Here is a 13,593-nt window from a genome sequence, read left to right on the forward strand (position 1 = left end):
CTCAGCTCAATGGAAAATTAAAGTCACCTCTGGGCACCTCAGTCACTATTGTAAATGCGAAGCGTTTTAGAAGCCGTATAAAAACTGAAGCAAGAGAGACTAGAACAAAAAATAAGCGAGCGGTGCGTTGCAGGTAACGGAGCCAGAGCCCTTAGGGGAGAGCATCATGGGGGCGGCCATCTTAGGGGACGTTCGGTGTCCGTACGGCAGAACATATTCTCTCTGAGAAGCTTGCGGTGGAACTGGCCCATGGAAATGTCTTTAGAAGAGAAGAACCACCTGGCTCTGTTCTTGACTCTGGAAAAGAATCCTTTTCTAGAATTATTTAGGTTGTTGCCAGATTAATTTCCTTTAGAGAGTTTCCTTGCCCCCACGACTTCCTATCTTTAAAGCCAACAATAGTATGTGAAATCCCTTTCATATTTGAAACCACTGACTATTGCTGCTGCATCTCTCCGGTTTCTCCTATTCTTAAGTGCTTGGGCAATCCAGAATAATCTCCCAATGCTAAAGTCAGCTGATTAATAAACTTAATTACAATGCAGAGTCCTTTTTGCCATGTAACATAACCATGGGAATTACTCTGGGGTTGTAGATCTGGCTATGATATGATGACACTAATGAATATTTTGCAATAAAAACATACTATTTTAAAATATATATATACATATATCTTTATATATGTATATTTCTACAGAATTATTACAAGTTATGTCTTATGATGGTTTCTTATAAGAAGCAAGGAGGAAAAGGTCCTTAACATTTTCAATTGTGTTTTTTTTAATAATAAAGCATGCATTCTAATTTACAAAAACCACAATAAAGGTACTTTCATCATGTCAGTCTTGAGGCTGAACAACACTTAACATTCTTTTTCCTTTTACCTGTCTGCCTTCTCCCTTCCCCTACACTCTCTATACCCCACCCTCCAGGCTCTCTGTTCCATCATCTTATGCGTATGGCCCCTTTCCCCTGTGCCCTCTTATTACTTCCATCTATCACGCAGACACACACTGTCACTCCCCTAAACACTCTAGTGTTAAACAATTGCTGCTGATTGTTTTTTGACAAGTGCCCTATGGGTAGGAGTGTTCACATAAATAAAGTCAAGCCAAATAGAGAAATACTATGAGAATAGACCTATTCAGCAGGCTGCAAAGCAGGCTTAGTAGTGAACATTCTGTGGGGATGGAGGCTTTTGGGTGTTTCAGAGCCATTTCTGCCATTTTCAGAGCCATTTCTACCTCCTCAAGTGCAGATATTCTGCTAGGGTGCAGATATTCACTGTTACTGTTGTTAAAAGGTGGTTGCTTTTCAAGGCTACCTTGAAGCTGAGGATATGGGGATAGGATTAGGGCAAGCTAAATACCACAAGCTCACTGTGGCCGGCATTGTAGACTTAATTGGCCATTCTAGAAGAGGAACTAACTGGCTTCTAGCCAGGGCCTAAAAACTAGATCTAGATAGCCAAAAAGATTACATTAAACTTCCTCTAGTGTCCCATCTATCAGATTCCAATCCTGAAGGACCAAGTCAATCTCTCTTCTATTTCATCTCCTTTCTCCCATCTTATAAAAGATCTTTGGAAAACTCTGTTTATTTCATATATAACAGAGCTGATATTTGTATGTTTTGTGGAGATGATGTTTCATCATGTTGCCCAGGCTGGTCTTGAACTTTTGGGCTCAAGCAATCCTCCCACCTCGACCTTCCAAAGTGCCAGGATTACAGGCATAAGCCACCATGCCTGTCTTAACATTTAATCTTTTCAAATTACTTCACTATGTATTCTTTTTTGTTGTTGTTCTTTTTTTCTGTTTACTTCACTGTGTATTCTAAGCACAAATAAGAAATTCTTATTTCCTAATTATTGTTTATTTCCATATATATAATATATTTTTTTAATAAGTTTTTTTTTAGACTGCATCTCACTCTGTCACCCAGGTTGGTGCGCAGTGGTGCAATCTCAGCTCACTGCAAACTCTGTCTCCCGGGTTCAAGCAATTCTTCTGCCTCAGCCTCCCAAATAGCTGGGATTACAGGTGTACCACCACACCCAGCTAATTTTTGTATTTTTAGTACAGACATGGTTTCACCATGTTGTTCATGCTGGTCTCAAACTTCTGAACTCATGTGATCCACCTGCCTTGGCCTCCGAAAGTGCTGGGATTACAGGAATGAGCTCCAACACCTGGCCCATTTCCTAATATTTGTATACACTTGCTATATTTTTATTTTTACCACACATAAAAATCAAGGCAAATGCAAGCCATGGATCTTATACATACAAAGGCATGTAGAACTATAATCATATAGTGAATATTCATGCATACTGAGGCAGGTTTTTAGATGCTCAGAGTCTGAAATTGCACTGCATGGTATTTCCATAAAATGTCCTGGGGCATACTCGGACAGAATAGCTCAAGTGCAAATTATAAGCATATATTCCCCAAATTGTATCCTGTTTGAATTCATCAAAGTTGAAATGAAGGAAAAAATAATAAGGGCAGCTGTGGGGAAAAGAAAGAGAGATCAGACTGTTAACTTGTCTATGTAGAAAGAAGTAGACAAAAGAGACTCCATTTTGTTCTATACTAAGAGAAATTCTTCTGCCTTGAGATGCTGTTAATCTGTAACCCTAGCTCCAACCCAGTGCTTGCAGAGACATGTGTTGTGTTGACAGAAGGTTTAATGGTTTTAGGGCTGCGCAGGATGTGCTTTGTTTAAAAAGTGCTTGAAGGCAGTATGCTTGGTAAAAGTCATCACCATTCTCCAATCTCAAGTACCCAGAGACACAATACACTGCACAAGCCCACAGGGACCTCTGCCTAGGAAAGCCAGGTATTGCCCCAGGTTTCTCCCCATGTGATAGCCTGAGATATGGCCTCATGGGAAGGGAAAGACCTGACTGTCCCCCAGCCCAACACCCATAAAGGGTCTGTGCTGAGGAGGATCAGTAAAAGAGGAAAGCCTCTTTGCAGTTGAGATAAGAGGAAGGCATCTGTCTCCTGCTCATCCCTGGGAATAGAATGTCTCGGTGTAAAACCTGACTGTATGTTCTGTTTACTGAGATAGGAGAAAACCACCTTAGGGCTGCAGGTGAGACATGCTGGCAGCAATACTGCTCTTTATTGCACCGAAATGTTTGTGCTCGTGCACATCAAGGCACAGCAGCTTTCCTTAAACTTATTTATGACACAGAGACCTTTGTTCACATGTTCTCCTGCTGACCCTCTCCCCACTATTACCCTATTGTCCTGCCACATCCCCCTCTCCGAGATGGTAGAGATAATGATCAATAAATACTGAGGGAACTCAGAGACCAGGGCCAGCTGCGCAGGTCCTCCATATGCAGAGCGCCAGTCCCTGGGGCCCCCTTTTCTTTCTCTATACTTTGTCTCTGTCTCTTATTTCTTTTCCTGGTCTCTCGTCCCACCTGACGAGAAACACCCACAGGCTGTGGAGGGGGTGGCCCCCTTCAGGCAGCCAGAGAGAAAGGTCGGCTTACCCACAAAGGGAAGCCCATGTGACTAACAGCAGATCTCTCAGCAGAAACCCTACAAGCCAGAAGAGAGTGGGGGCCAATATTCAACATTCTTAAAGAAAAGAACTTTCATCCTAGAATTTCATATCCAGCCAAACTAAGCTTCCTATATGAAGGAAAAATAAAATTCTTTACAGACAAGCAAATGCTGAGAGATTTTGTCACCACCAGGCCTGCCTTACAAGAGCTCCTGAAGGAAGCACTAAACATGGAAAGGAACGACCGGTACCAGCCACCACAAAAACATGCCAAATTATAAAGACCATAGATGCTAGGAAGAAACCACATCAACTAACGAGCAAAATAACCAGCTAACATCATAATGACAGGATCAAATTCACACATAACAATATTAACCTTAAATGTAAATGGGCTAAATGCTCCAATTAAAAGACACAGACTGGCAAATTGGATAGAGTCAGGACCCATCAGTGTGCTGTATTCAGGAGACCCATCTCACGTGCAGACACACACATATGCTCAAAAAAAAAAAAAGGGATGGAGGAAGATCTACCAAGCAAATGGAAAACAAAAAAAAGCAGGGGTTGCAATCCTAGTCTCTGAGAAAACAGACTTTAAACCAACAAAGATCAAAAGAGACAAAGAAGGCCATTACATAATGGTAAAGGGATCAATTCAACAAGAAGAGCTAACTATCCTAAATATATATGCACCCAATACTGGAGCACCCAGATTCATAAAGCAAGTCCTTAGAGACCTATAAAGAGACTTAGACTCCCACACAATAATAATGGGAGACTTTAACTTGCCACTGTAAACATTAGACAGATCAACGAGACAGAAAGATAACAAGGATATCCAGGAATTGAACTCAGCTCTGCACCAAGTGGACCTAATAGACATCTACCGAACTCTCCACCTCAAATCAACAGAATATACATTTTTCCTAGCACCACATTGCACTTATTCCAAAATTGACCACATAGTTGGAAGTTAAGCACTCCTCAGCAAATGTAAAAGAACAGAACTTATAACAAACTGTCTCTCAGACCACAGTGCAATCAAACTAGAGCTCAGGATTAAGAAACTCACTCAAAACCGCTCAACTACATGGAAACTGAACAACCTGCTCCTGAATGACTACTGGGTACATAACGAAATGAAGGCAGAAATAAAGATGTTCTTTGAAACCAATGAGAACAAAGACACAACATACCAGAATCTCTTGACACAGTTAAAGCAGTGTATAGAGGGAAATTTATAGCACTAAATGCCCACAAGAGAAAGCAGAAAAGATCTAAAATTGACACCCTAACATCACAATTAAAAGAACTGGAGAAGCAAGAGCAAACACATTCAAAAGCTAGCAGAAGGCAAGAAATAACTAAGATCAGAGCAGAACTGACGGAGATACAGACATAAAAAACACTTCAAAAAATCAATGAATCCAGGAGCTGGTTTTTGAAAAGATCAACAAAATTGATAGACTGCTAGCAAAACTAATAAAGAAGAAAAGAGAGAAGAATCAAATAGACACAATAAAAAATGATAAAGGGGATATCACCACCGATCTCCAGAAATACAAACTACCATCAGAGAATACTATAAACACCTCTACGCAAATAAACTAGAAAACCTAGAAGAAATGGATAAATTCCTGGACACATACACCCTCCCAAGACTAAACCAGGAAGAAGTTGAATCCCTGAATAGACCAATAACAGGCTCTGAAATTGAGGCAATAATTAATAGCCTACCAACCAAAAAAAGTCCAGGACCAGACAGATTTACAGCTGAATTCTACCAGAGGTACAAAGAAGAGCTGGTACCATTCCTTCTGAAACTATTCCAATAAATAGAAAAAGAGGGAATCCTCCCTAACTCATTTTATGAGGCCAGCATCATCCTGATACCAAAGGCTGGCAGAGACACAACATAAAAATAGAATTTTAAACCAATATCCCTGATGAACATCGATGCAAAAATCCTCAATAAAATACTGGCAAATCAAATCCAGCAATACATCAAAAAGCTTATCCACCAAGATCAAGTTGGTGTCATCCCTGGGATGCAAGGCTGGTTCAACATACACAAATCAATAAACATAATCCATCACATAAACAGAACAAAAGGCAAAAACCACATGATTATCTCAATAGATGCAAAAAAGGCATTCGACAAAATTCAACAGCACTTCATGCTAAAAACTCTCAATAAACTAGGTATTGATGGGATGTATCTCAAAATAATAAGAGCTACTTATGACAAACCCACAGCCAATATCATACTGAATGGGCAAAAACTGGAAGCATTCCCTTTGAAAACTGGCACAAGACAGGGATGCCCTCTCTCACCACTCCTATTCAACATAGTGTTGGAAGTTCTGGCCAGGACAATCAAGCAGGAGAAAGAAATAAAGGGTATTCAATTAGGAAAAGAGGAAGTCAAATTGTCCCTGTTTGCAGATGACAAGATTGTATATTTAGAAATCCCATCGTCTCAGCCCAAAATCTCCTTAAGCTGATAAGCAACTTCAGCAATGTCTCAGGATACAAAATCAATGTGAAAAATCACAAGCATTCCTATACACCAACAACAGACAAACAGCCAAATCATGAGTGAACTCTCATTCATAATTGTTACAAAGAGAATAAAATACCTAGGAATCCAACTTATAAGGGATGTGAAGGACCTCTTCAAGGAGAACTACAAACCACTGCTCAACGAAATAAAAGAGGACACAAACAAATGGAAGAACATTCCATGCTCATGGATAGGAAGAATCAAGATCGTGAAAATGGCCATACTGCCCAAAGTAATTTATAGATTCAATACCATCCCCATCAAGCTACCAATGACTTTCTTCACAGAATTGGAAAAAACTACTTTAAAGTTCATATGGAACCAAAAAAGAGCCCATATTGCCAAGACAATCCTAAGCCAAAAGAACAAAGCTGGAGGCATCACGCTACCTGACTTCAAACTATACTACAAGGCTACAGTAACCAAAAGAGCACGATACTGGTACCAAAACAGAGATATAGACCAATGGAACAGAACAGAGCCCCCAGAAATAGTACCACACATGTACAACCATCTGATCTTTGACAAACATGACAAAAACAAGAAATGGGGAAAGGATTTCCTATTTAATAAATGGTGCTGGGAAAACTGGCTAGCCATATATAGAAAGCTGAAACTGGATCCCTTCCTTACACCTTATACAAAAATTAATTCAAGATGGATTAAAGACTTAAATGTTAGACCTAAAACCATAAAAACCCTAGAAAAAAACCTAGGCAATACCATTCAGGCCACAGGCATGGGCATGGACTTCATGACTAAAACACCAAAAGCAATGGCAACAAAAGCCAAAATTGACAAATGGGATCTAATTAAACTAAAGAGCTTCTGCACAGTAAAAGAGACTACCATCAGAGTGAACAGGCAACCTACAGAATGGGAGAAAATTTTTACAACCTACCCATCTGACAAAGGGCTAATATCTAGAATCTACAAAGAACTTAAACAAATTTACAAGAAAAAATCAAACAACCCTATCAAAAAGTGGGTGAAGGATATGAACAGACCCTTCTCAAAAGAAGACATTTATGCAGCCAACAGACACATGAAAAAATGCTCATCATCACTGGCCATCAGAGAAATGCAAATCAAAACCACAATGTGTTACAGGAAGGCAGGGACCCCAAACAGAGAGACCAGATGGAGCTGCGGCAAAGGAACATAAATTGTGAAGATTTCACTTTAATATGGACATTTATCAGTTCTCAAATAATACTTTTATAATTTCTTATGCCTGTCTTTACTGTAATATCTTAATCCTGTTATCTTCATAAGCTGAGGATGTACGTCACCTCAGGACCACTGTGATAATTGTGTTAACAGTGGTTCTGCTTTTGCCCTTTGCCCTGTGATCTTTGTTGGACCCATATCAGTGGTTCTACTTTTGCCCTTTGCCCTTTTCCCTCAGAAAGATGTAATCTTTGTTAGACCCTTATCAGTGGTTCTGCTTTTTGCTCTTTGAAGCATGTGATCTTTGTACCTACTCTCTGTTCTTACACCCCCTCCCCTTTTGAAACCCTTAAAAAAAAAACTTACTGGTCTGAGACTCAGGCGGGCATCACAGTCCTACCGATATGTGATGTCACCCCTGGAGGCCCAGCTGTAAAATTCCTCTCTTTGTATTGTCTTTATTTCTCAGCCGGCTGACACTTATGGAAAATAGAAAGAAACTACATTGAAATATTGGGGGCAGGTTCCCCCAATAACAACGAGATACCATCTCACACCAGTTAAAATGGTGATCATTAAAAAGTCAGGAAACAACAGGTGCTGGAGAGGATGTGGAGAAATATGAACACTTTTACACTGTTTGTGGGACTGTAAACTAGTTCAACCATTGTGGAAGACAGTGTGGCGATTCCTCAAGGATCTAGAACTAGAAATACCACTTGACCCAGCCATCCCATTACTGGGTATATACCCAAAGGATTATAAATCATGCTGCTATAAAGACACATGTCCATGTATGTTTATCGCGGCACTATTCACAATAGCAAAGACTTGGAACCAACCCAAATGTCCATCAATGATAGACTGGATTAAGAAAATGTGGCACATATACACCATGGAATACTATGCAGCCATAAGAAAGGATGAGTTCATATCCTTTGTAGGGACATGGATGAAGCTGGAAACCATCATTCTGAACAAACTATCACAAGGACAGAAAGCCAAACACCACAGGTTCTCACTCGTAAGTGAGAACTGAACAATGAGAACACTTGGACACAGGGTGGAGAACATCACATACCAGGGCCTGTCGTGGGGTGAGGGGAGTGGGGAGGGATAGCATTAGGAAAGATACCTAATGTAAATGACGAGTTAGTGGGTGCAGCACACCAACATGGCAAATGTATACATATGTAACAAACCTGTACATTGTGCACATGTACCCTAGAACTTAAAGTATAATAAAAAAAATTAAAAAATAAAAGATTAATGGGCCAGGGTTGTGGCTCATGTCTGTAATCCCAGCACTTTGGGAGGCTGAGGCAGGTGGATCAACTGGGGTCAGTAGTTCAAGACCATCATGGCCAACATGGCAAAACGTGGTCTCTACTAAAAATACAAAATTTAGCCAGATGTGGTGGTGCACACCTGTACACACTTGTAATCTCAACTACTCAAGAGGCTGAGGCATAAGAATCGCTTGAACCCGGTAGGCAGAGGTTACAGTGAACCGAGATCATGCCACTGCACTCCAGCCCTGGGCCACACAGCAAGACTTCGTCTCAAAAAAAAAAAAAAGAAAACAAGATTAATGTTCCCTCTGAAGAATAAACATACATAGTGGGGTATTCTGCAGGGTGAGTAAAGTAGAAACTTTATATATTCAACCCAAAGCATATTTTGTTAATTAGCACTGTGGCCACTCCACTAGAACAGAGTGGAACCCCACCCACACTTTGATTTGGATGCTGGGACTGATGACGTCACATAGTGAAGTATCATGAGAATATTTGTTACATAATGAGACTCTGGAAAGAGCAGGAGACTTCCCAAGCTGGTTCAAAAGTGGCTTGTGAGAGCAGGAAAATGTGTTGTGACTATGGTTAAGGAGTAGGGCAAGGGTAAAGGTACCCAGGCATGTCTTGAACTTCCAGCATATACCAAAGAAGGGAGCACTCAGGCTTTATTATCAACTTGCCCAAATAGTGTGGCTTAAAAGATGTCAGTAATCAATCAAAAAATAGATTCAGATTCTTTAATTCAACACTGAATGTTTACTCTTGAAACTCCTGACTTCTAGGTTGAGAAAGACTTAATTTCCTCATGCTAAAAACCTTATACATGTCCTTTCTTCAAGCATAAATAGGACCCTTTACATAACTGTTGAAAGTGCTTCCGAAATACTGCTTAGACAAATTGTCTACAATATTTTTACACTAGTCTTGTGAAAATTAATGTTTATAAGACTATAAAAATTGAATAACAAAAAAGCCATTTTTCAAAAAGCTGTAAAAATTTCTGTATGAGGTTATCATAATAAGCATGGCATTCTATAATTTCTCAACTATAGCAAAACTTCATTTCTATTATTTATTTATTTATTATTTATTTATTTATTTTGAGACACAGTTTCACTCCAGCCTGGGTGACAGAGACTCTGTCTCAAAAAAATAATTGTTATTATTATTATACACTTTCCTAGAAATCATTTAACCCAATTTATAGATTTACATTTGTTCCCTTGTACTTCAGTGAAAAACTTGGAGGATCCATAAATCAAGGTGGTATTTTCAGATTTGTGTGGCAAAAAATTTGTACAGAGAGGCTGGGAGCGGTGGCTCACACCTGTAATCCCAGCACTTTGGGAGGCCGAGGTGGGCAGAGCACGAAGAGATCGAGACCATCCTGGCTAACATGGTGAAACCCTGTCTCTACTAAAAATACAAAAAAAATTAGCCAGGCGTGGTGGTGGGCGCCTATAGTCCCAGCGACTTGGGAGGCTGAGGCAGGAGAATGGCAAGAACCCGAGAGGTGGAGCTTGAAGTGAGCTGAGATCGCGCCGCTGCACTCCAGCCTGGGCGACAGAGCGAGACTCTGTCTAAAAAAAAAAAAAAAAAAAAAAATATATATATATATATATATACACACACACACACACACACAGAGAAATGACAGATGCAAAGCATGTGTTCTATCAATATGTAGAAGGTCCCTTACATTTTAAGTTCAGTGAAATAATTAGAATGATACAAGATACTGAACTGAAATTGTACAATGTGGAAGCAAAAGCTCTGTTACTAATGTGCAAGTATATCAACAGGATTTTTAAAACACAACATGCTAATTATACCTTAAAATATATTTCTCCCAGTCTGGGCAACATGACGAAACCTCATCTCTACAAAAAATACAAAAATTAGCCAGGCATGGTGGCGTGAGCCTGTGATCCTGAGGCAGGAGAACATGGTCTGGAGGCAGGAAACCTAAGGCTGTTTCACGCTAACGTCCTTAAGCTAAATTGATGGGAAAACCCTAACTTTCCACACCTAAGTAACAAAAGGACCAGAGACTACTCCCTTTGCAAACCTCTACCTTTTCTGCCTGGCAGATGGGAAATTAAAAGTACCTCTGATTGGTTGCTTTTTGCAACCAATCAGATATTTGCGTAGGAGTGTGACTTTTGTAACTTTACTTCAGCCTCTGATTGGTTGACTGACTGCAGGCCACCATTTCATTTACATTAGGTCAGCACCAAGCAGCCAACGGGAAACCTCTAGTAGTCATTTGGACCCAAGAAGATTCTGTATCTGGGCCACTGCTTGGGCCTGTTCCCACACTGTGGAGTGTACTTTCATTTTCAATAAATTCCTGTTTTCATTCTTTTGATGCTGCATTCTTTCATTGCTTTGCTGGGTGTTTCTTCCAAGTCTTTGTTCAAAATGCCAAGAACCTAAACAACTTGCAGTCAAGACCCTCTACTGGTAACATATTCTGGTGAGCTAGCCAGGAGAGAAGGTAGGCCCAAAGTTTGGGATTTCTTTTTCTCCTTTCCCCTTTTACATACAGGGAAATCTTCCTCTCTCCATCTTTTCCTTTCCAACTGAGGACCCTCAGTGGACAGCACCTAAGCACAAAGACACTTGCAAGTTTCTGGCCAGGGCCATTCTCTGGTGAAACTGGAAGGTTTCCGTGTGGAAGTGCCTAACTGCCACCGCTTGGTTAAGGTGAGGAACCTGAGTCCTTTTCCTCGTTTTTGTTTTTCTGAGTCCTATTCCTTTTTTTTTTTTTCTGAGTTATTTTCCTTTTCTCCTTTTTCAGTCTTTCAGCGGCCGTTTCCTAGTAGCTCGTTGGTAATTGAGGGGAACTGACTGGGGCCACTCTCTGGTATCCTCTGAAGGCCAAGGAGTGAACAGGGATGGCTGCCCTGCCCAGAAAGGGAAAAGACTCATTTCTGTCCTTTTCAGTTATAATCCCTGATCCCTATGTGTGATGCAGTTAGCAGCAGCAGCTCGTCCAGGGCAAACTCACAGGTTTCAGGTGACTTATGCTGCTTTTATTTATGCTAAATTCTTCCCTTCTCCCACCCAACTGGCAAAGGACAGAAAACCCACCTAGCTATGCACAAAAGGTTACACAAGTCAGAGGGTCCGGGCATGTGGTCTGTGTGGTGCATGGTGGTGGAGGGAATTCATGAAAAGGAATTTATTATTGCCTAAGTTGAGAGCGTTAAAGGGTTGTTTTAAGTGAGATAGAAAAACTTTAAGTCAGGTCCTCAGTGATGGAGGGAACCATTCCAAAGTGGTGCCAGCACCCATCTAAGGTCAGAGATGTCTGACAGACTAAGTTGGGGCCCTAAAGGGGGGATGCCCCAGGTAAAATTTGGGTCACCTAATGAGCCCTCCACTTTTCAAAGTCCTCTTCTCTTTTCCAAACCACTATGGGCAACTCTCCACCTATTCCACCTGATTCCACACTTGGCTACATCCTCAACCATGGAAATCAATTTGACCCTGACACTCTAAAGATAAAATGTAAAATTTTTTTTGCACTATTGTCTGCCCCCATTATGAACTGCCCAGCCTGGAACAATGGGCAGTCTTGGTAGCCTTAATTATGACACCATCCTGCCATTAGACCTATTTTGCAAGAGGCAGGGCAAATGGTCAGAAATCCCATATGCACAGGATTTTATGACCTTATACCAAAACCTAGCAATCTGTCAAACTCCCAGAACCCACCCCCACCACCAAAGGAAAGTTCTAAGGTAGAATTAGATATTATAGATGATCCCCCCCACTCTTACTTTTTCTTTTTTGAGACAGAGTTTTGCTCTCATCGCCCAGGCTGGAGTGCAATGGCTTGATCTCCGCTCACTGCAACCTCCACCTCCCAGGTTCAAGCAATTCTCCTGCCTCAGCCTCCCAGGTGGCTGGGATTACAGGCACACACCACCATGCCCATCTAATTTTGTATTTTTAGTAGAGACGGGGTTTCTCCATGTTGGTCAGGCTGGTCTCGAACTCCCGACCTCAGGTGATCTGCCCAGCTCGGCCTCCCAAAGTGCTGGGATTACAGGCGTGAGCCACCGTGCCAAACCAGATGACCCCCTTTTACAAGAGCCACTTGTCTCTAAGGGTGAAGAGCGACCATCCCTATAGCCCCCTTACCAAGTGCTCCTGAGGCTAAAACCAGGAGCAAACACTGGGGACCCTACTAAGTCCCCCAAACACTCAGTGGGGAACACCATATTCTACTCTCCCTCCAGCCTTGCTACCCCGTAGGGAAGCAGCAGGAGCCGAATGGCCAGTCCTATTGCAGGTCCCCTTCTCTATAACTGATATACAGCAATGTAAGGAAAAGCTAGGAAGCTACTCTAAAAATCCTAGGAAATTTGCAGAAGGGTTCCAAAAGTTGACCTTATTACTATTGCACTCCAGCCTGGGCAACAGGGTGGTGACATGATAATAATGTCAATTTACAAAGATGATTTGAGAATCTTGTCTGTATGCACTTAAAACCAGCTGCAAAACATGTGAAGCAACAAGTGACAGAAGTGAAAAGAATGTACAAATCTAGGTGGAGCACAGATTTTTAGGTTAGTGAAACATACTCCGTATGTTTCCCATATCCCAAAGCAACACTGTATTTGTCAAAGGACACTCTGAACACAACAAGCTCAGTGACTTACATTGTAAATTTACATCATTCTCCACCATATTCCATGCTGCTTAACTCACACAGTACAGTGACCTTAATCTTCCAGAAAACATGGATATGAAGGAACCACACCTAATGAAGCAGGCCCTCTCACCTTACTGATTTATTCCCAGAGACCACAATGAAAGATGTGTAGGAAAGGCAAGACTTCATACTTTAGGATGAAGGTCACAAATAGTCAACTAGCCTTTTTAAGAAATGTCAAAGTGAATACAATTATTTTATATACTGAATTGGCCATTTCCACACACGCTCTTGATCCTTTGATGTACATATTACCTGGGGTTTTAACAAATTTTGTCTTGTGGTTATTTTACCGTATGTATCATTCCAGGTCA

At 41.0% G+C, this 13,593-nt stretch overlaps 1 protein-coding gene across 3 annotated transcripts in view; it reads right to left on the reverse strand.

Moving 5' to 3' along the window:
• ZNF841 (zinc finger protein 841) overlaps positions 9,280-13,593 on the reverse strand; it is a 37,276-nt gene continuing 32,962 nt past the window's right edge. For all 3 annotated transcript variants that reach the window (NM_001369829.3, NM_001436340.1, NM_001352299.3), the window contains one exon: positions 9,280-10,136. In NM_001369829.3, coding sequence (NP_001356758.1) covers positions 9,948-10,136 — 189 coding nt within the window. In that variant the 3' untranslated portion in view covers positions 9,280-9,947. The remainder of the gene's footprint in view (positions 10,137-13,593) is intronic.

Source organism: Homo sapiens, chromosome 19, assembly GCF_000001405.40.
Source record: "Homo sapiens chromosome 19, GRCh38.p14 Primary Assembly".
NCBI classification, from domain to species: domain Eukaryota; kingdom Metazoa; phylum Chordata; class Mammalia; order Primates; family Hominidae; genus Homo; species Homo sapiens.